Source organism: Homo sapiens, chromosome 1, assembly GCF_000001405.40.
Source record: "Homo sapiens chromosome 1, GRCh38.p14 Primary Assembly".
Classification (NCBI taxonomy): domain Eukaryota; kingdom Metazoa; phylum Chordata; class Mammalia; order Primates; family Hominidae; genus Homo; species Homo sapiens.
In genome coordinates, this window is record NC_000001.11 from 38,230,867 (window position 1) to 38,253,655 (window position 22,789).

General features: G+C 49.2%; 2 annotated features.

Annotated features, from left to right (window-relative positions):
- Window positions 8,008–8,538: an enhancer, noted in NCBI's record as "H3K4me1 hESC enhancer chr1:38704546-38705076 (GRCh37/hg19 assembly coordinates)". NCBI's record gives its function as "activates a minimal SCP1, AML or CMV promoter by ChIP-STARR-seq in naive H9 embryonic stem cells {active_cell/tissue: H9 hESC(naive)}" and the evidence as "EXISTENCE:reporter gene assay evidence [ECO:0000049][PMID:30033119]".
- Window positions 15,537–16,979: an enhancer, noted in NCBI's record as "VISTA enhancer hs1001". NCBI's record gives its function as "enhancer in: neural tube[9/11] | hindbrain (rhombencephalon)[9/11] | midbrain (mesencephalon)[10/11] | forebrain[9/11]" and the evidence as "EXISTENCE:transgenic organism evidence [ECO:0001131][PMID:17130149]".

Below are 22,789 nucleotides of genomic sequence, written 5' to 3' on the forward strand. Positions count from 1 at the left end.
AATACATTGATAAAGACGCTGTTACATTTCTACTTTACAGATTTTTGTTTAGTATTTTGATATATTTATTTCAAAGTAGTTGATTCTGTTTAATTCTATGGATTTTATTTTCTGCATTTTAAAATATTGTTTGAAGAAGGATCACAGGCTTCACCAGATTGCCTATGGGATCCATGGAAAATAAAAAATGGTTAAGGCTGGGCACGTTGGCTCATGCCTGTCATCCCAGAACTTTGGGAGGCTGAGGCGGGTGGATCACTTGAGGGCAGGAGTTTGAGACCAGACTGGCCAACATGGCAAAACCCAATCTCTACTAAAAATACAAAAATTAGCCAGGCATGATAGCGCATACCTATAATCCCAGCTACTTGGGATGCTGAGGTATGAGAATCACTTGAACCCAGGAGGTGGAGGTTGCAGTGATCTGAGACTGTGCCACTATATTCCAGCCTGTGCAACAAAGCAAGACTGTCTCAAATAAATAAATAGTTAAGAACCCCTTCATAGGATCTTTGCTGGTCCTCCATAAGTTTTCTTTCTCTCAGTTCTTATAGGCCCAGTTGGTATTTTTCTTGTGCCTCTTTCTATCTGTGTTAGAGTCATGATAGATGTGTTTAATACCCCCAGGAGACTGAACTCCCTGAAGGCAGCACTGTGTCTGACTCTTCTGTGTATTCCCCACAGTATTTCTTGGTACATAATAGATGTATAATAAATGCTTATAAATTAGTGAATGAGTGAGAGATGAATTAATGAATGAAGAATGAGTATTGAGCAGGTTGGGGACCACCTTGGAGAAGAAATACATGTTTTGAGTCTATTATATACCAGCCACTTGAAGCTTTCATATACATTATCACATCAAATCTTACAGCTCTACAACAAAGAAATCCTGACATTAATTTTATAGATGTAAGGAAACTGGGCTCAGAACAGTAAAGCGGCATGCCCAGTAAATGTTGGAGACAAGGTTTCTTAGATTCTTTCCTCTACACTGCATGAACCCACCTCTAGGGAGGAATAAAATGGTTAAAATCCAGGCAAGGTGGAGATAGTGTGACATGAGACATAACATAGGCTCATTGACTGATGTGTGATAGGGGCACTGTTTTTAGTTGCCCTAAATGTGAAAGTTGTTTTCCTCCAGGCCACAGCCTGGGTGGTCTAGAGTGTCTCTCTTCTCCTGCTGCACAAAAGAGCAGGGACAAAGCGAAGAGGAGCCAATTGCATGTAACAAACACCTGCTGCTGACATTTTGCCAAAGGGCTCTGAATCAGTCAGGGGCCAGCCAGGAAGACAGAAACCATTCTAGGTCTTTGGAACAGAGGGAATTGAATGCAGGGATTGGTGATGGAAGCACTGAGAAGCCAAACAGGACTGTGAGGCAGCTGCTAGAGATTAGCAACAGCTGGAAGCTGCTACTACCCTAAGGGACATTAGGACAGTGGGAGGAGGTGGTGTCACCAAAGCCCAGAAACGGAGGCCATCAAGTGGGAGCCAGAGTCTCAGTGGGGGCTGCCAGCTGGGGGCGAGCTAGCAGGAGCTGGAGTTCTGGAGAAGCATAACCACTGCCACAGACTCAGCCACTGTCATAGTGAGAGAGGGGAAGAAGTACCCTGGCTTCTCCTCTGGCACCCTCCAGTCTTCTACAGATGCCTTTCATTGGCTGAATGCTAGAAAGCTAGAGCGGGAGGGAGCCTAGGAAATGGAGTTCCCTGAGATACTGAGATCAGAAAAGGGTGGGGACAGATCTGAGAGGAAACCAGTAGTTGATGGGCATAGATCTACTCCTGGAAGAGTAGGGATCCTAGGGCTTGTGGGATGTTACAGAGGGCCCTGATTTGCTCTAAGGAACAGAGATGAGGCTCTGGTTTTAAATATGAATTTGGAGCAATTACAGCTGGAGAAATGGAGACTACTCTGCCATTGAGATCAGCCTTGGAGCTCAGTCCCTGACCTCTTCTCTTTCCTGTTGCATTCACTCCCTGGGCGATTTCCTCCTGTCCCATGGCTTTAGACATCATTTGCTGGCTGATGGTTTCCAAATGTCTGTCCTTGGATCTGAATTATTCCCTGAATTATGTGCCTGTATATCTAATTTTCTACCTCATATCTCCACTTGGATATATAAAAATGATATTAAACTGAACATGTCAGGAGTCAAACATTTAATTTGTCTCCCTTGTCCCCCATTGCTTCTTCCCACCTCAGTCAATGGTATCATCAACCTCTTGGTTGCTCAGGTCAACAATTTTGGAGTCATCCTTGACTCCCATGTTTCTTTCACAGCCCACCTCCTATTCATCAAGTCCTGCCAGTTCTGTTTTGAAACAGATTCTGAATCTGACCTATCCCCACCACTTCTTCTACCACCATCTTGGTCTACCCCGCTCCCACATCCTGGCCTCAACATTTCTCTTCTGGACTATTGTAGTAGCCTTCTCATTGGGCCCCATGCTTCATTTCCCCCATTGCCCCCTCCCCAATTCTCACACAGCAGAGTGATTCTGTTAAAACTTAAGTCAGGGCCGGGCGCGGTGGCTCATGTCTGTAATCCCAGCACTTTGGGAGGCCGAGGCGGGTGGATCATGAGGTCAAGAGATCGAGACCATCCTGACCAACATGGTGAAACCCTGTCTCTACTGAAAATACAAAAATCAGCTGGGGATGGTGCGCTCCTGTTGTCCCACCTAGTCGGGAGGCTGAGGCAGGAGAATCGCTTGAACCCAGGAGGTGGAGGTTGCAGTGGGCCGAGATCGTGCCACTGCATTCCAGCCTGGCAATAGAGCAAGACTCCGCCTCAAAAAAACCCAAAAAACAAAAAACAAACTTAAGTCAGATCATATTACTCTTTTGCTCAAATGCTTTCATATCATACTTTGAGAAAAGTGCTTGCCATGGCCCACAAGGCCCTGTGCCATCCCACTCTGCCCACCTCTCTGATCTCAGTTCCCACCACAGTGCCCCTCTCTTCCTCTGCTCTGTCCACAATGGTCTTGCTGTTACTTGAACAGGTCAAGCATCCTCCTGACTCAGTGCTTTTGGACATGCTGTCCCCTCTGCAGGGGACATTATGCCCCTGTATGTCCACATGGCTTCCTTACTTTATTCAAGTCTCTGACCACCCTAACTAAAAGGACATCCCAATCTGTCTCTTTCTTTCCTTACCCAGATTTGTCTTCATAACATTCATTAATGACATTACCTGTGCTAAATTCATTTTCTCATCTGGCTTCTCCATGGAATATAAGCTCCAAGAGGGCAAGAGCTTTGTTTGTTTTCCATCATAGCCCCACACCTAGCACAGAGCTATGCTGGACTGTCAGGTAGCAGCTCAGCACCATTTCCCCTCTTCTTTGCACATTCTTGTACCATAAGGGCTAGTCACTTGGAAATTACATTTTCCAGAATCCCTGTTTTGATCCTGCTGATGGCACACATAAGATTTGGAAGGTGGAAGAGAAGCAGAATCTATGTTACTGTTCTTCCAGAAGCAATGGGCTGATGCGTGGGTTTTGGTAAATGTGAGATGTTTGCGGTGGGCTCTGGGGGTTTTCCTGAAATTATCCACCTTAGCCCTGGAAGTAGGAACAACCATTTTGGCAATTTTCCTTATTTCATGCAACTTCTTAAGATATAGCAGTGGGTTTCATTAACGTATGTCCTTCCAGCCCTTTCAAAGTTTTTTAAAGTACCTGTCTCCTAGGAATTCCAGTTTCTGTTTTCTTGAATGAACTGTCTGATACAAGTCATGGCACACAGTAGGCACTCAAAAAATTATTAAATGATTAAACATGCCTTGATAGAAGGAAATGATGGGTCTAGAATGAATCCATGCTAGACACAAAGGAGCATTCTCAGGTGCTAAGGACAGGGACCTCAGTTACTTCTATCTTGGAGGTTTACTATGACCCCAGTGTGGAGGCCCAGGTATAGACATCAGACCTATTCTGTAGGGTATTTGGAGTATGCCATGTCTATGTGTATACTAAAGTTAACATTTTAGAAAACCATGTAGTTCATTCCATGATGAGGGTTTCATTCATTCCCCGTCTAGTCATTTTTTAAATAAATATTCAGTCCAAAGAGCTCCAACAGACATTGCTGAGGAAAGAGGGATCAGAACTGGGGAGACCTTCTGAAATTTGCAGTCAAGGTTCCACACCAGATTGCATGGTTTAAGTGCACAGTCTCTTTAAACAAAGAGCGACCTCTTCCCAAGGGCTTGGGATGAGCTAGGCTCTGCACTCAGTACTCTTTACTGCCCATCTCATAGGCTCCTCCCAATAATCCCATGATGGAATGATGGAAGTATTACCTTTCCATTTTATAGATGAGGAAACAGGCTCAGAGAGGCTCAGGGACTTGCCCAAGATCACTCAGCTAAGGCAGAGTGAGGAATTGGACTCAGATTTCAACCTTTTGGGGTGTCTGTCCAGCTCATGACTACCCATGCCTTCTCTAGAATCTGACCTCTCTTCTTTCTGATCCTCAGGGTTGGGCCCCAGCAGTCAGGTCTGTATGCATTTGGCAAGATTAAAGAGGGGGCCCCCAGGCTAAGTGCAGTGGCTCACACCTGTAATCCCAGCACTTTAGAAGGCAAGGTGGGAGGATAGCTTGAGCTCAGGAGTTCGAGACCAGACTGGGCAACATAGAGAGACCCCATTTCTACAAAAAATAAAAATTAGCTGGGTGTGGTGGTGCACACCTGTGGTCTCAGCTACTAGGGAGGCTGAGGCAGGAGGATCACTTGAGATCATGGAGCCGAGGCTGCAGTGAGCCGTGACGGCACCACTGCACTCCAGCCTGGGTGACAGAGCAAGACCCTGTCTCAAAAAAGGGGGGACCCCAGAGCTTGATGTTCCTCAAGGTCCCCTTCTTTCTTTTCCCAACACAGCCTCACCACAACCATCCGCCTTGGAGGCTATCCAGACAAATCTTGTTATGCTTTTTACCCTTTTTGAAGTTAGTCATTGCGAAATCCCCAGATTCCCAGCTTACTCCTCAACCTCTGCTCTCTGATCCTCATTTGGCTCTGTACATCCCCTAACATGACTTAACTCTCTGTTTTTCCTACTCCTCAAATCCTTCCACTGCGCTTCCTATGGTTAGTCACCAGAAAAATATCCTGTAACCTCATCCTTGTCCCTGAATGCTCCCCTTCTCCTTCTTACTCTAGAGAAAACTCAGCTCCCCTTCAAGGATGCTGCCTTTCCTGAATCCCTCTCAAGTGGTGGTTGTTCATATTCCCGCAGCCCCTGAACCACAGGTAGGTGGGGTAGGTGTCCTCCCTGCTCCTTGTTGCCTCTTTCAGATCATTTATTCCTGCGCATCCCCCCCGAAACTGTGGCTTTGAAGTTGTGCCATCAGACCACACCTCTTTGATAGTCCTTGTTGCAGTCATCTAGAGAGCCCTAGTCACTCCCCTCTACCGTTCCCTGAAGATATTTAAATGCTGAGCACTCTTTCTGCAACACTGCCCTGTCTCAGTTCTTGGTGATCTCCATAGAGACCGATCCTTCTTGGTGATTTCTGCAGAGACGATCTTTCTTGGTGATCACACGTAGAGACGATCCTTCTCTGAGCCTTGCGTCTCACTTCCCTGGCTCCCTTCATTCCACCTAATCCCACTTGTCACTCTCAAGGTCACACCCCAGTGCTTATCACTAACAATAACTGTATCCCCTCCAAAATCTCAAGCATCCTACTTTCTGAACACCATCTTACCTTTCCAGCTCACTCTGCTGTGGGTGGCGGCATTGCATGGTCCCCAGGTGACAGCAGGCTGTTCTCTACCAGCAAAGGGGAGGGGTTGCCTCTTCTAGCACAGAGGGGGAATTTGCGGTTCAAGATTTTCAGGCTTATCTATACAAATATTCTCATCCATTACGTCAGGGTTCCACGCCTTACCTGTTACAGACTTTAAGGTCACCTGTGAGACTATGCACTCATTTCCTTTGCAGGTCTCTCCCTTAGTAATCAAATCCTGAACCCAATTTTCAGCAGAGTCTGCTTTGTGGCAGGAGGAGATGAGTCTCCTTTAAAGATGCCACGGGGTCCTCTGCCTTCCAAGGCATGCCTTCAGCTGGCAATTAGCCTCCCTGGACCCACTATTTTATTTTGCAAGGCTTTCCTGGCTGTCAAAAACAGTGAACCCTCACCATAGTCCTTATAATTTCCTCCAGACTGATCAAGCACCGAAGCTTCTTGCCTTCTTCCTAGTACTGCATCTCACTAACTACAGGTGAAAGTTTAGCCCTGGTGAAGCCCTGCATACCAGAGGTCACCACTCTGTTTTCCACCAGCAATGGGGTCCCTTATTGTCTTCAGATGGGTGGGCAATCTGGTTCCTAAATCCCATCCTGAGGGCCATGCCTAGTACCAACTGCCTTAGTCCTCCCAGAAGACAGAGCCTGAGGCAGAAACTCGTGTAATCACATTAATGAGAAGTTCAGACCCTTGGTAGCAAGATTGAGGGCAGTGGGGAGTGAGGCAGGGAGAGAAGGAGAGCAAACCAAAGGAACTGTAATGCTGAGCTTTGTTGACACACATTTTTGTAACAAGTGTAGCTGATGGCTTGGTCCCAGGTATATCTTCTTGCTTCAGGACCATCTGATATTGTTTGGCTGTGTTCCCACCAAAATCTCATCTTGAATTGTAGCTCCTATAATTCCTACATGTCATGGGACGGACTTGGTGGGAGGTAATTGAATCATGGGGGCAGTTACCCCCATGCTGCTGTTCACATGACAGTGAGTGAGTTCTAATGAGATCTGATGATTTTATAAGGGCTTTTCCCCTTTTTGCTCAGCAGTTCTCCTTGCTGGTGCCATGTGAGGAAGGACGTGTTTGCTTCCCCTCCTGTCATGATTGTAAGTTTCCTGAGGCCTCTCCAGCCATGATGAACTGTGAGTCAATTAAACCTCTTTCCTTTATAAATTACCCAGTCTCAGGTATGTCTTTATTAGCAGCATGAAAATGGACTATGCCATTCATGCCGTATCTGAATAGACCTGAAAATCTGGTGATGGGGGTGGGTTGTAGAGAGAATTTATCCTCAGATTTCCTTTCATCTCCTACAAAGGCTTGCCCCATGAAGCATCAACTCTCCTGCATTCCTGGGTTTTGTCACCCACCCCTTCAGTGACTCTGAAGAAATCAGAAAACATGCCTTTTGGTGTAATTTTTTCTGGGTGCAGAAGTGAAGGAAGGATCCTGCGGACTTGGAGGTGGCCCCAGCCTGCAGAATTGCAGGGTCCCTGCAGCTGTGGCTGGGATGGAGCTCACCTGGGGAGTCAGTCCCTGTGGCAGCAGCTGGGGCAAAACAAGAGGTCAAGAGCACTAGTGATGGTGAGTGAGGCCCAGAGGACTTGAGGCTGTGCATAGGAGGTTCTGAGACGCTACGCCCTGTGAAACGAAAATCAGATTATGCCATTCAGAACTTTCATGATGTCTCGCCCCATACTGGCCCACAGACCTTGTCCTATCTGGGCCCTGCCACTCTCTGAGCTCTTCTCCTTCCTCTCCCACATGGTGAGCTTTATTCCAGCAGCACTGAAGGCCCTGCCTGTCCTCGGCCCATCCCAAGCCTCCTGCCCCAGGGCCTTGGCACCTGCTTTTCTCTGCTTGGAGGGCTCTTCCCCCCAATTCAGACTGCCTGTCTCCTTCATTTCCTTCAGGCCTCTCGTGAAATGTCACTTTGCCTATGAGGTCTTCTTTGTCCACCTTACGGAATTTCATCCCTGTCCCCACCCAGCTCTCTCTTTGCCCCGCCATATTGCTGTCCTGACATCCTGTGCATTTGTCAGCTGTTTCTTTTCTGTCTTCTCTGAACTAGAACGTAAGCTCCCTGAGGGCAGAGGCTTTTTCTGTTGGTTGCCTGCATCTATAGCAGGCATGGCACATTGCTGGTGCTCCATCAATCATTGTTAAATGAACAAATGATTAAGTAAATGAATGACGGTGATGCAATCCCCGCTCCCCTAGCCATGACTGATTAGACCCCTGGCCCAAGCTGGGCCAGCGAGATTGTCTCTCCAGGGAATTTGGAACTGGGCTTGAGAGCTGATGAGGCTCTGGAGGGGCAGAAATTCAGACCTGTGAATTCAGGGGTGGTGGGGTGGCACTTCACTCCACGCCAAGGTGGAAGGAGCTGGTCTGCAGGGAGAGGAGACTTGAGAGGCACTGCAGGGGATGGAGAGAGGCCAGCGCCAGCTCCATCCTCCCCCTGGGATCCAGGAGACACCCCAGGTCCTTATGATAAATTCCTCCTTTCTGCTTAAGCTAATGAGAATGGCCTTATTTTTACTTGCAATTAAAGACTTAAATATCAACACTACCATTTACTGAGTGCCACTGTATCCATCAGGGGCTGTGCGGAGCCTTATCCTGCTTTGTGGAACCTAAGCGGGTCACTTCCTGCAGTGCAGGCCACATGGGGCCCCTCAGTCAATTGCAGTACCTCGGTTAGCGCACAACCCTTGCCGAAGGAGCTCTGAGGCTGCCCTGAGGCCTTTTCCTGGCACCCAGGGGGTGGCCCAGCTGCCCCAGAGCCCGAGGCCTCTCCTCCTCACCCCAGCACATGGCACTCCCCCAGCCCAGCTGTCACTACAGGCTCTCTGCTCCTTGCCACCTTGGTTCTGAGGCTCCAGGTCTCAGCAAGGCTCAGCCCTGGGCTTCGTCACTCCTGCTCTCCGACCCCTGCATCTGGCTCCTGTTCTCCCAGCCTCCTGAGCCCCACAGTCCCCTCCCTGCAGGCCTGATCCCAGAGTGTGGAATCTATTGTCCTCTTCCATCCCAGCCAGACCCCAGCCCAACCTGACAGATCCTCCATTAAAGATGCACATTTACACACAGCTGATTTACATAGAACACAAGGAAACCGCTCCATTTTCAGAAAAAAGAGACTCCTGGTCACTGGTCACTTGAAACAGTGTGGATCCAGGATGAGGGAGCCTCCTGCCCTTCCTGTGATTTTTTAGGCAACTGTGAAAGGGCCATCAGACCAAGAGTAGGTGGCTGGGGGAGGAAAGCAGGTTGAACAAAAGGAAGAAATGAGGTGTTGGGCAGGCACATGCTATTTAGTTTCTGTATTTGCTTTTAGAGCAATTCTATTCCTTACTTACATATGCCCTTGTGAACCTTTAGGGTCTGTTTTTAAATTCTGCCAAGCCTCCCCAGCCCTGTTACTCCCATCACACACACACAGACACACACACACACACACACACACACACACACACACACACAGAGTTTTTATTTCAAAGGTAAGCAGTCACGGGACAGAAAGGTAGGGTGTGCTGTAGAAGAGCTTTGGAGTCAAAAGCCCCATATTGACAAGGAATCCATTGGGGCTTCAGTTTCCCTACTAGTAAAATGGGGATAATAATATCAACTCTATGGAGTGGTTTTGGGGATGGAGAGATGAAGTGTGTGCATGGTGTGCATGTAAGGTACTTTGTGCAGTGCTGGGTAGGTAAAGGATCTGCGAGTGGTAGTTATTTAGGTTTAGGAAGCAAAAAAGTCAACCACGTGCCCCATACTGGCCTCCTCTCCCATCCTTCCAAGAGACTCTACCCTTTGATCTGACCCAGGCTCAGACAGATACCCATCCCTAGCTGTGGGCAGAAGTCACAGGCCATTTGTTCCCCTGCTTTTATTGGTTCACATTCTTCCCTAGAAAGGGCCCTTCTCGTCTTGTTCTGTTCTTTGTCTATTAGGCCTCTTCTCCCCTCCACTCCCCCACCAAGAAGGTGACAAAATGTGGGTCCTAGGTGGGGTGGGGGCAGACAGGGTTGGGACACAATGATGCAACAGCACTGAACATGTGCCACTATGACCCAGGTGTTATGCTAAGCTCTGCAGGTCAGCTATCTGATTTAATCACCCATTTTGTGCATTCATGGCAGGCAATTCTGGCCGAGCCCCGAGAAGTTCTCAGAAACAGTGTGGTGATCTATTAGTGATGTCTGCTGTGGATGAAGCCATGGGAATATCATGATTCCATTTGCCTTCTCAGCTGGGAGCAGTTGGGAACATGTAGGAAGGACTCTGAGCTCCAGCTGGAGCTCAGGTGGGCTTCCTGGGGAGGTGATCCCTAAGCAGACATCTGTAGAATAAGAGGATGGTAAGTTGAAGAAGGATGGGCAAGGTGCTCTGCACAGGGAAATAGCATGGGTGTCAGATATGAATCACTCTGTGGGCAGACAGGTATTACTGGGGCATAAAGCAGGAGGCAGGGAGAGATGGAAGATGAAGCAGGCAAGAAAAGCAATGAATGGTACATGTAAAGCAGTTAAAATGAATAGTAAGTGCTCAATAAGCTGTAGCTGTCATATTATTATTGTTGTTGTTGTTACTGGAGAGTTCCAATAAATGTTTCTTGGCTGATAGGCAGAGGGCAAGGCCCATTAAGCACCTAGTGGATATTGCTCAGTAAATTCCTAGTTGACTTATTGGCAGCCTGATCAATAATCAATCGACTCTGGGGAAGTCCAGCCATGGCAGGTGACAATATATCAGGATAAAGATATAAGTGGCAGTACAAATACCCTACCCCAAGTCCAAATTCAGGGAAACTTTGCATTTTACTTAGCCCCTCCTCTGGGGAAGTCCTCCTGGCTTGCTCCAAGCCTACCAGCAGTCTACTTATGTTAGCCTCTGAGTCTGGTGACTTCTCTTTGTGGCACAGCCATGGCCTCTTGTCCATGTCCTGGAGCTGTCCCCTTTCCCTTCCTAGCTGCAGAGGGAGAGCTCAGCCGGGACCCCTTCTGAGGTTGCTGTTTTCTGACCCCTCTGCTCACTCTCCCAGGGCCTTCTTTGTGACTCAGACCTTGAGCTTCCCCCACCAGAACTGGGGCAGACCCCGCCCTTCATTTTCTATACTGTGCTTATTTTGTTTTATTAGGACACAGGGTGTCGCTCTGTTACCCAGGCTGGAGTGCAGTGGCATGATCATAGCTCACTGTAACCTTGAACTCTTGGGCTCAAGCGATCCTCCCACCTCAGCTTCCTGAGTACCTAGGACTATAGATGCATACCACCACACCTGGCTAATTAAAAAAAATTTTTTTTTTGTAGAGATGGGGTCTTGCCGTGTTGCCCAGGCTGATCTCAAACTCCCAGCCTCAAGCAATCCTCCTGCCTCAGCCTTTCAAAGTGTTGGGATTACAGGCATTAGCCACTGCACCCAGCCTGCTTCCTTATTTTACAGGATGAAGGGAGGGTCTGTGCCACTCCCCTGACCCCAGGCTGTTCTGTACACAAGGAATTTCCATCCCCTTCCCTCCACCCTCAGGGTGCCCATCCCTGCTCCCACCCTCCCCTGCATCCCTCAGAGCCTAATTGAAGAGGCTCCGCCTGGCACAGAAAATGAAAGCTTTATCTTCCCAGTCCATCCTGAAGTGTGTTAAGATGATGGATGAGTTTCCAGACCTGAATGCTCCTCCCAGTAGCATTAACAAAATTGCCTTTCAGGATCCCAACTTCCACGTCAAGATGGGCTGCGGTGGAGATGGGAGCCCCAAGCTTTGGCACTTGACGGTGAACATTAAAATCATTTTAATGCTGCATTTAGGATTTGTGTTCCCTGTGTATGAGCCAGTCCCATTGCTGGCACCGGAATAAGATGAATGATGTTTATTAAAAAGCTCTTTGGTACAGCCTGATTGACCATTAGGAACACTCAGCTCGGAGCAGGGTGCGTGGGCCCAGCTTCTGGGCCTGGATGGGACCCGTCAGAGATGCAGTCACTCTTAGCCCTATGGGGTCACAGCCAAGTTTTTTCCTTCAGGCCTCTCCCACCTCCCCCAGGCTATAATGTCAAGAGGTCAGAGATGAGTCATGGCTAAGAGAGTCCTGAGTTGGAATCTCACCTCTGAAACCAGGTTGCTGATGGAGCGGGGCAAACCCTTTCCCTGTTGGCCATCAGTATCCCCATCCATGAACTAAGGGAATGGCTAGCTGTTATGGGTTAAATCGTGTCCCCCTAAAATTCATATGTTGAAGTCCAACCTCTCTCCCCATCTCAGAGAGGTAAATAGGGTCTTACAGAGGCAATCAAGTTAAAAAGAGGTCATTAGGGTGGGCCGTAATCCAGTGTAATTGGCGTCCTTATAAAAGGGGGAAATTTGGAGATAGACACGCATACCCTGTACACACACGCCACATGGAGAACCGTACGTGAAGATAAAGGCAGGGATTGTGGTGATGTGTCTACAAGCCAAGGATTACCAAAGATTGCCAGCAAACCACCCAAAGCTAGGAAAGGGGTGAGGAACGGAGTCTTCCTCACAGCCCTCAGAAGGAACCAACGCTGGCAGTGCCTTGATCTCAAGTTTCCAGCCTGCAGAACCGTGAGACCCTTTGTTTCTGTTGTTTAAGCCACTCAGTTTGTGGTGCTTTGTTAAGGCAGTCCCAGGAAATGAAAATGCTAGCTGGAGCCCCGCCCACTCGGACACTCCCTGAGGCTATGACGCTAGGATTCAGCCTGAGAGACCAGGTGGAATGAGTGAATCTGTTCTCTGCTGCTCCAGGAAAACTTGGAGGGTGGAAGCCAAGCAGGTAGGACCTTGGAGCTGAAGCCAGTGGCTGTCTTTGTTCCCAAACCACAATGGTTAAAAAGGCCCAGGAGCCCAGGAGGAACTGCTGGTCCTTTGGGGACAGTTGGGTGGAGGAGGGGGCTGGTCCCAAGTATATGAGTCCAGGCGGAGCTCTGGTGCTGGGTTGAGGGCCACTCATGACTCCGGGTCGAGGGGTCTTGAACCCCCACCTGGAAACCTGGAGCAGGAAGCAGGGATGTCTGCCTCTGGGCACATGAGAGAAGATGCACGTGTTGAGCCAATCTCAGCTTCTAGACTCTCCCAGGTCAGCTTGCTTTTCTCCCAAATGAAAGTGTTTTTCATTGCGTGGAAATGAATCCACTTAGTGTGTGTTATAGGAAAAGGAGACATTAGTGTGCGTTATAGAAAAATAAAGTTAAAATTTATGCACACCTGAGTTTGTGGCCTGAAACAGACCCATTAGTACTGACTGAGCAACCAGCATAGCCAGACACTTTCACTGCATTCTCTTCATCCTACTGACAACTCTATTTTTGTGCATATTACTGTCTCCATTTTACAGAGGAGGAAACTGAGACACGGGGAAGTGATGCGTGACTCACAGTCACATAGTAAGCTTGGATTCGAACTCAAGGAGTCTGACCTCCTCACCCCCAGCCCAGGCTGGGCCTGGCACCCAGTGACACAGAATCTTCTCATGAGAGGCTAAACCCTGGGAGAAGTGGAAAGAGCTGAGGACCACAGGGCAATTGACGAAGAACGAGGAGCAATCCGGAGGCTGTGGAGGGTTAGAAACACTTGTGCTGGCTGTGAGATGTTGGTCGGGGGAGGACTGGTGGGCCATGGGCCGTGTTTATCTGTGGGGCCACCCTGTTTACCTGGTGGCTGAGCAGGGAGCATATCCTCTTTTGTTCCTGGGAGGTGGCTTGTGTGGGGACTGAAGATGAATCGGCCCAGGCGGGCAACTTCCCCGCTACCGCCCCTCCCCCGCACGGCAGGTAGCATCAGGTGTATTTGGCAAAGCCTCGTGCATGGGGAAGGCCAATCAGCCTGAGTGAGCTGGGCTGTGCTGAAGCTGGGGATTGCTGGGGATTGCTCTTGCAATCAGGGCATTTCACACAGCAAATTGTGGTCATTTAGGCCTCTCTCCGGCAAGCTTAATTTCAGGCCCAAGCACAGAGGCTATTCAGAGACACAATGAGGTAATTTCACATTTTAAAGCAGAGAATGCAGCGTAAATTAGTAGAAAAAATCATGACACTTATAAACCCGTTCTAAAGATGTATTGTTCCCTTCTCTTCTGGGAGAAAAAAAATCAGCTTCTATTAAGATTGAATTAACCACTGGAGGAGAATTCCTCAGACGGCCCATTCATAAGGAGAAATCTATTTTAAACTTGGTGGAAAGGCTTTTGCGGCAAGTGTTAGGAAGAGAGTTCCTGAGAAGATGCAGGTGCTCTCGCAGCAGTCCCTGCACCTGGGCAGGGGGGAGCAGGGCGCTCAGGCCTGCGCCCTCTCATGCCCACCCCAGGTTGGCCCCCTTTGGGTACAGCCTTGAGTAGTGTAAATGCTGAGGTCAGATGCCCCCCAGACAGTAACTTAAGTACAAATCGTTTATTTGGGAGTGAGGGAGGGGAGTGGGGAAGTGAGATGTCAGGGCTGGGGGACTAGGGGAGCAGTAAAGAGTCCTGCATCAAGTCAGCCACCCCTGTGGGTAACTGGAGGCAGAGGAGACCGTGCTCCTTAGAGTTAGCCTCCATGAGGGCTGGGAAGCTGGGCTGTTTATCACGCCCAATCCTAAAAGTCATCATGGAGGGCTGCTCCATCAATGTATTGGTTTTAATTTCTTGGCTTTTCTCATCTTTACCCTGAAGGTGGCAAAGTGGGCTCCAGCAGCCAGAGATAGCCCTTGGCAAGGCTGTGGGGAGCCAGGCAGGTAAGGCCTGGAGTGGTCAGCATGATGGGATCTAGCACGTGCTACCTGGTTACTGGTATTCTCATTCCCAAACCCCATCCCAAGGCGCTTCCTTGGGCTCTAGCACGTCTTTTTTTTTTTTTTTTTTTTTTTTTTTTTTTTTGAGACAGAGCCTTGCTCTGTCCCCCAGGCTGGAGTGCAGTGGCGCAATCTTGGCTCACCACAACCTGTACCTCCCAGGTTCAAGCGATTCTCCTGCCTCAGCCTCCTGAGTAGCTGGGACTACAGGCATGTGCCACCATGCCTGGCTAATTTTTGTATTTTTAGTAGAGAAGGGGTTTCGCCATGTTGGCCAGGCTACTCTTGAACTCCTGGTCTCAAGTGATCACCCCACCTCAGCCTCCCAAAGTGCTGGGATTACAGGCGTGAGCCACCATGCCCAGCCATCTAGCTCTTCTTTTATTCCAGACAGGCAGGTGCCATGTCAGCTTTCTGTGTCACAGAAGGAGCCATGCCAAAGGGATAAGTCCTGTGTTCTAGTACCAGTTCTTTGCCTGGCAAATTGTCAACCTGAGCTCCTCCTGCCTTCTCTCTGGGTCACAATATCCCCAGGTATTTTGGGATGCCCGTCAAAGCTTTTCCTTGTTCTGAAATAATGGCTTATATGGCAGGGGGAAGGTGACAATGTCAGTCTGATTCCATCACCTCTCCCAGCACCCAGATCTGGCTGTTGGGCCTAGTAGACCAGTGACACTTTGCTGAATGGAGCTGGACTGTGGGGCTGCAAGGCAGAGCTCTGGCCAGACAGACTGACCACCTCCTAATCTCCTGAGCCAGAGAGAAGCCATGGATACCACACCCATGGAGTGGCCCTACTGGCCCTGGATGTGCCCAGGCTGGGAGCCGGAATGTACTGAGGAGAGATGGCCCCAGGCCATGGCCCAAACTTGGGGTCCAGGACATCAGGATCCCTTTTTACTTTTAAAATGACATCCACTTTAAGGCAAATCCATCTGAGAACTGGTGAATTGACTCCACATGGCAAACATCTGAGCGTGAGACTAAACTCTGGGCTGTTTCCTCACTTTGGAGTATTCCCTGCCTCCGTTTTATCATTTAAGTTAAAATAAGACTTTTTAATCCACTGAACTTTTCATGCCAGAATATCCCTTGACTTTCCATGCCCACCTCCTTCTCTATGATGTTTCCAGTTCATTTTTTTCAGAGAAATCAATTTCAATGTTGATCAAAAGGCTTTTTCAGAGATGCAGGTGACAGAGCCCACGAATTCAGTTCTCAAGGAAACACAGGGCCCTGGAGCTTGTCCCCCCACCTAAAAGTGGGGTGAAGAGGCTGCCAGCTGTCCAGTGGGTGGATTTCTCCCCAACACCACCTGCGCCATCCATCCCCCCAGGCTGGCAGCCTCTCGGGGGCCTCATCCAGCCCCAAATGGTAGTGCCTCCAGCCCCCTTGACAGCCAGTGGTGGCGAAATGGCTGCTTCAAGAGTTCAGCTTTCTACAAAGACAGAAATAATCAGGTTGACCAAAGGGGAAAAAAGGGAAAATTGAGCATTATGAGGGTGATAATTCAGAAAGTGTCAGCCTCAGAATAATTGAATCCGATGACATTTTGTGCTACAGGAAACAATAGCAGCTAGCCGGCTGCCCGTCTGATTCATGTCTGGTTCATGTTTAACAAAACAAGGGCAAGGGTCACGCAGCCACGAGCCCCATAAATAACCCGTTAATGGGATTTCCAAACAAGCTGTCCTCAAAGTGGCTTTCCGTCTCACTGAGAGAATATTAAAATGCAAATGGATTCGGGCTGTGTCTTCATAAACAACCGTGTTCATTTAACCTCCGACCTCCCCGCTTAACTGCCCATTCTAGCAATTTGTACGGGCTCCTCGGCCACAGGCTCCTGCGGTAATTCAGGGAAAGTGCATTAAAGGAAAGGGTTACAATTTGCAATGCTCAGTTAATCATGCTATTGAGATGTTTATGGACAGAATCGTGCTCCTCCTCACACTTGTCTCAGCCCTTGTGTCCTACCCCCGCCCCCACCAACCCAAACGTGGCTGATTGGTTCCTTTTGTTGAATCTGGTGCGGTGAGGTGGGTAGGCTGTCTTCCCAGCTGACAGGGGTCCCCTCTGGCCTCCGGTCACCAGCCTGCTTTTCCTTGGCTGCTATTCTGCTTGGGGTCTGGCCAGAGACCCTCAGTTAAATGCGGATGGTCTCAAGGCTTGTTCTCCTTTGTGAAATGGCCCAGGCTTGCCCTGGGAAGCCGCCCGTCACTTGGTTTCTTCCCAGGAGCCCATTTCTGTTCTCTCCAGAGCTGCCCTGACCCAGCCCTGGCATTGGCCTGGCAGCTCTTTGACCAGCTCCGTGAGAAGCAGCTCAAGTGGATGTTTCCTCTCTGGGCCCTGGGCATGCCTCCTGAGCCTTGACCCTCCATCAATCTGGCCATGTGGAAAGATAAGACTTGCACAAAGAGAGTAAGGGTGATGTGAGCCAGGGGTCAGGGTTTGAGGTCTGATACCCTGGCACATTTCTAGAGAGGAGACAGGCACTATGTTGGAGGAAGTGCTACATGATCTCCTCCGTTGCCTGGACAGATCACACGGGCACTGCCCTCTTCAGTTTACAGAAGGCTTTTTCACATAGATGATTTTAGCAGATCCACTCAAGTCTGGCACCTGGCACCTGGTTGGGGTTCAATCTTAGAGATGAAGAAAGCTAAACTCAGAGAGGCTAAGTGACCTGTCTCGGGTCACCCAGTGATTGGAAGGTGGGGTGGGCCTGCAGACTTGGCCTCACTCTGAGGCACAGTTTTTCCGTATGTCTGGGAGAGGTCCCAATGTTCCGTGGCTTCTCTCTGAGGGGCAAAGGGAGTCTGTGAGAGCCTGGACTAGAGTCTTTATCCTCTCTTGGGCAGGAGGAGAACTGAGGAGGTAAAGCCGTGCCGGGGAGGACATGTGGGAATGGGGGCAGGTATCCGTGTCACTGGCCCCAGCTGGAGTCGATAGCCTCCCTGTTCCGAATGGGGCTGCCCAGTTCTAGTTGGATTTTTGTGTTGTTCTTTGAGGCAAGCATTTCTGTCCTTTAGCTTTTTCTTCCCGTTTCTTTATAAGGAAGGGCAGGGGAATGAATCTACGATGATGTCTCCAGTTCGCTAATGCAGACATGGACCTCTGGGGACCACCAAAATGAGAAATATCCAACTCCGCCTTGCTCTCCTGCTTGATAAACTCAAATAGACTTCCAGTTATAAATCTGTCTCAGGATGTGTAAAGGCTGGAACTGCAGAGACCAGCCCGTTAAGGAGCTCGGCTGGGGCTATGGCCACTGGGCTTCTTGGGCCTGGCCTGTGTGGAGGTCGCCCTCCCTCACGCTTCCTCCATCCCACCCCATCCTCTTCTCTATTTCTTTTTTTTATTTTTCTCTTCTCTGCCTCTCTCCCTCAGGCTCAGTACCTCCAGGGGTGGCAGAGAGAGTGGAGGGAGGGGGTCCCACGAGGGCCAGGGAGCCTAGGGTCCTGCGGAGATCACCCGCACCTGCCCACATCTCCTGTCGGGTTTCTCTGCCACACTTTCCTTGGATGGATGGAATTTCTGTCTTTCTCTTCCCCTCCCCATTTTGTTTCTGTTTCTGCTTCTCTGTGTTCTCATCGTGTCTCTGAGATGCTCTCTTGGTTTGTACCTCTTTCTCTTTCTGTTTTCTCTGTTTTGTGGGTCTTTCCCGTCCCTCCATGTCTGTCTCTCTCTGCCTCCCCCTCTCTGCCTCCCCCTGCCCCTCTCCAGTGAGGCTTCCTGGGTTCCGGCCAGGCGAGTTCCCCTGACAGCTCTGTGCTGGCTTCTTTGTCTCCAGCTCACCCCATTCTCCACTCTCCTCTCACAGCGATTTATCTAAAATGCAAATTGGACCATGTCTTTCCCTGGCTTAAAATCCTTCAAGGCTCCCCACCAGACCCTGGCGGGTTTCCTCCCCACCTCTCCAGGATCATCCCTTGTCACCCTCTGGGCTCCGCTCTACTCTGTGTGTGTGTGTGTGTGTGTGTTTCTCTTTCTCTACACACATATATGCGCACACACACACACACGATGAGCATCTGGAGGGAGAGACACATACAGAGACATACAGATGAGGGAGATAGGGAGAGAGAGAAGTGAGACAGAGAGAGAAAGAGACAGAGAGACAGGAGGAGATCTTATGCTAGAAGAGAAATGGGTCCTTCAGTCCTCAGCTCTCCAGGTCACCCTTCCATGGTGGCAAGGCCAGGTCATGTGTGCAGAGGACTTTCTACCTACCCACATCATCTGACACTGAATCCTGTGCTAGTAACCACCATGGCAGCCTGACTGTTACGAAGTAGGAAGTCCAGGTAGGAGGAAGTCTTGGGCAAAAAGAAGGATGACTTTCTGATTGTAGAAAGTGGGAGGAAAACAGGGGTATAGGGAGGCAGACACATTTCCAGGTGGCTGCAGGATGTCGATGGCCTTGTGTCTCTGTGAAGTAGGAAGGGAGGTCACCTGCTTGTGGGATGTGCAGGGCATTCACTAAGGAGGGAGGAGAGGTGAGGGCCTGGACAGGTCTCAGAGGGCCATGTAACAAGAAAACTCGAAGGGTCTGGTGGGCGGCAGAGGACCCCCACTGATAAGCATGAACTCGTGGGTGGGTGAGTTCCTTCAGCAGCACGGATGCTGCAGCATACAAGGGGACTGTTGGAGTGACCCAGGAGTGGGTTTTTTTCTAAGGGTGTGATGGAAAGACAAGGGACAAAGGCACGGAAGCCACTGGCAAAGCATGGATGATGGGATAGACCATGGGACCTAGGTGGGATTGGGAAGAAAGGAAAGCCTGGAAGGGCAGACTGGGAAAACTCAGAGGGGAAGAAAAAGTTGGCGGTTTTGTGGAGACCGAAGGACAGGTGCAGTGAAAATAAGAGGGTGGAGGGGCTGGAGGGGCTGGAGGTCCCAGGGGCTCAGGTCCAAGAGTAGGTAGTTAGGTCACCCATTTCAGGGGTGTTGTGGCTCTGGGTAAAAGGGTCATGGAGTGGCAGCTGAGACAGTGCAGGGATATCACTGAAGGGGGACAAACCACCCACAGACCTAGTGGCTGGAAACAACCATTTGTTATTGCTCCCGTGTCTAGAGTCAGCTGGGAAGTCCTGCCGATCTTGGCCAGGCTTGGCTGATTTTGGCTGGGCTTGCTCATATGTCTGAGGTCAGCTGGCATGGTTGGTCTCAGATGGCCTCACTCACATGGCTGGGGGTTGGTTGACTGGCCATTGGCTGGGTGTTGGAGGTGACCAGGCATTCTGTGTCTCGTCATGCAGCTTAGACCCAGATTGAGAATGTGTGCAACATCACTTCTGCCTCTTTCCATTGGCCAAAGGGAGCATGGAGTCCTGTCCAAAATCAAGGGGAAGAGAACTAGACTCCTCATCTTGATGGGAGAAGCCATAAGGAAGAGAGGCTATTTTCCAGTCTACTGCAGCTAAGGCCACCTGAGATTCCAGGGGATTGGACAGACCATCAGCCCTGACACAGGTCCTCTAGGATGTAGACTGAGATCCAGGTGCTAAGGTCTTCAAAGAGGGAGGGGAGGTGACACAGAGCACTGAAGATGACAATATCAGGAATGGCAGAAGCCATTCAGGCCCTTACAGGAGAGAATGTGTGTGTTTGTGTGTGTGTGTGCATGCATATGTGTGCACATGAAGAAGAAAGCCAACCTCTGATGAGGGTGCAGGGGTGAGCGCAGTGACAACCCTGGGAAATAGTTCCTGGTACTTTGCAGATTCATAGCATTAGCAATTCAGTCCCTTTCCCCTGCCCCATTCCTCCGCTGGTAACTGACAGAAGGTCACGGCCCATCAAGGTGCTGCCCAGGGGAAGGTTGCTACATCAGCTCTTTCTTATTGACCGGACTGTCTTCACTTTCTTTCACTCAACAAGTAATTATTGAGCATCAGTCATGTGCCAGGCTCTGTGTGAGGGACAGGAAAGAAGACACAGTCTCTGCCCTTGGGGAACTCAAAATTTAGACGTTACAGCCAAGGTGTATCTACGTACACATGTACTCACATGGGTGTGTGTGCATGTGTGCACATATACACACATTCAATACCCCCTGCACCCACAGATGATTTGTGGGTTAAAATATATAAATACACTTGCAAACTAAAAAAAAAAAAAAACCTTCAAAATCATCCTGATCATTTATCTTTCTGTTTAATCTCTGACAAGTTTGAGATTTTTCTTCTTTCTTTTTTTTAGAGATGGGGTCTCACCATGTTGCCCAGGGCTGGTCTTAAACTCCTGGGCTCAAGAAATCTGCTCTCCTTGGCCTCCCAAAGTGCTGGGACTATAGGCATGAGCTACTGCACCCAGTTGAGATTTTTCTAGAATAAAAAACTGTATTTTAAAAAGTAATCACAGATTCTATTCAATGGTTTATTTGAAATGTTCCATATTCAGGATGGCTCTAGAATATATTTCTGTGAATAAAGGGATGCCAGGAACTCTCTTCCCCCAAAATAAAATATATAAAAATAACAATGCAGCAATAATAATAATAACTTCCTTGTGACACTCTGCAATTCCAAAAGTCCAATCATGCGTGCTATATCAGTTGTCCTGTAAATGGCATCTCAAAGTTGGCCTCAGAATCCATGGGAGGTTTATGAGACCAAGCATGGATTAAGTCCTGCCCAAACTGAAGGGTAGGCTGGCAGGGTCTTTTTTTTTTTCTTTCTTTCTTTCTTTTTATTTTTTTTCAGACGGATTCTTGATCTGTCGTCCAGGCTGGAGTGCAGTGGCACAATCTTGGCTCACTGCAAGCTCCACCTCCCGGGTTCACGCCATTCTCCTGCCTCAGCCTCCCCAGTAGCTGGGACTACAGGCGCCCGCCACCATGCCCAGCTAATTTTTTATATTTTTAGTAGACACAGGGTTTCATTGTGTTAGCCAGGATGGTCTTGATCTCCTGACCTCGTGATCTGCCCTCCTCGGCCTCCCAAAGTGCTGGGATTACACGCGTGAGCCGAAATGCTAGCCAATTTTGGAGGGTCAGGGTAAGCCCTTTTAAAGGAAAGCGATGCCTCCTCTATTCCCCAGTCCTGTTGCCTCTCCTTGGGCAGGAGTTGGCTCTCAGCAAAGGGCTCTAGAGCTAGGGCCAGCACTGGGTTCCATGGTTCTCCTTGGCCAGAGTCACAGATGGACAAGATCCAGTAAGAGTCATTGAATCAAGGAATGGTGGAACTGTAAGGAGTTTAGGAGACCTCTGAGCCTTAGTTATCATCTGTCAAATAGGGCTAGCATCACACCTGACTTTGGGGTTGCTACGAAGTAGAGATACTATGGACTGGGATGGTGCTGGGGCAGGTGCTCTATGGACACTATGGATGTAAGGCAGTGTCAAGGCTGTTGGTCCCCACTTCCCCCAAGTGAGATCTAGATGAAACCTGTGACTCTAATCACCGAGTCCATGGCACCTTCTCTGGAGACTGTGACTGGGTCTTTAACTACATGCTTTCCAGAGGTGCCAGAGTGCTCTAAGCTTCTTCTCAATCTATGTCCCAGGGAACTGAAGATCATACCCAAAGGCATGCCCTGAGCCAACTCAGATGCAGAGAAACTTCATCCATCCTCTTAGCCAACAATGTGTGATCTTATGCTTAGGGTTAGGTTAAGTGCTGTGCTGGAGATAGAGACAGATTGGTCATATTCCCTGCCCGCATGAAGCTCACAGTTTGCTTGGGGAGACAGACAAGATTACAGGTGATCCCAAAGCAGAGTGATACAAAACCAATCAGAGAAGGAAAGGAAATAGCCTGCTGGAGCAATCAGGGAGGGCTTCAGTTGAATAGGAATTCCCTGAGTGGCAAAAGTGGGGAAAGGCAGGAGCTGCCTGTGCATAGGCAGGAGCATGTGAACAGGAGGTTATGTGAGGAGGCAGGGCAAGAAATGAGACCAGAAAAGCAGGCAAGGGTTAGCTGGCGTAGGGCCATGATGAGACTTGCTAAGCAGCCTAGGCTTTATCAGGGAGGCAACTGCAGCCATTGACTAGAGTTTTAGGGAGCACCCAGTATATGCCAGGCTACAGCATGAGGCATATTTGATATGGCTGTTTTGCTACCCAAGTGGCTGCATCAAAGTGTGAAAGACACTGTTTTCCATTACCAAGTCACGTGACTATCAGGCATGCTCCACTAATCCTCATCTCTTTCCTGGTCCCTCACTCTCTCTGGTCTCTCCTATCTTTTCTCAAGTCTCTTCATATATATATATATATATATATATATATATATGAA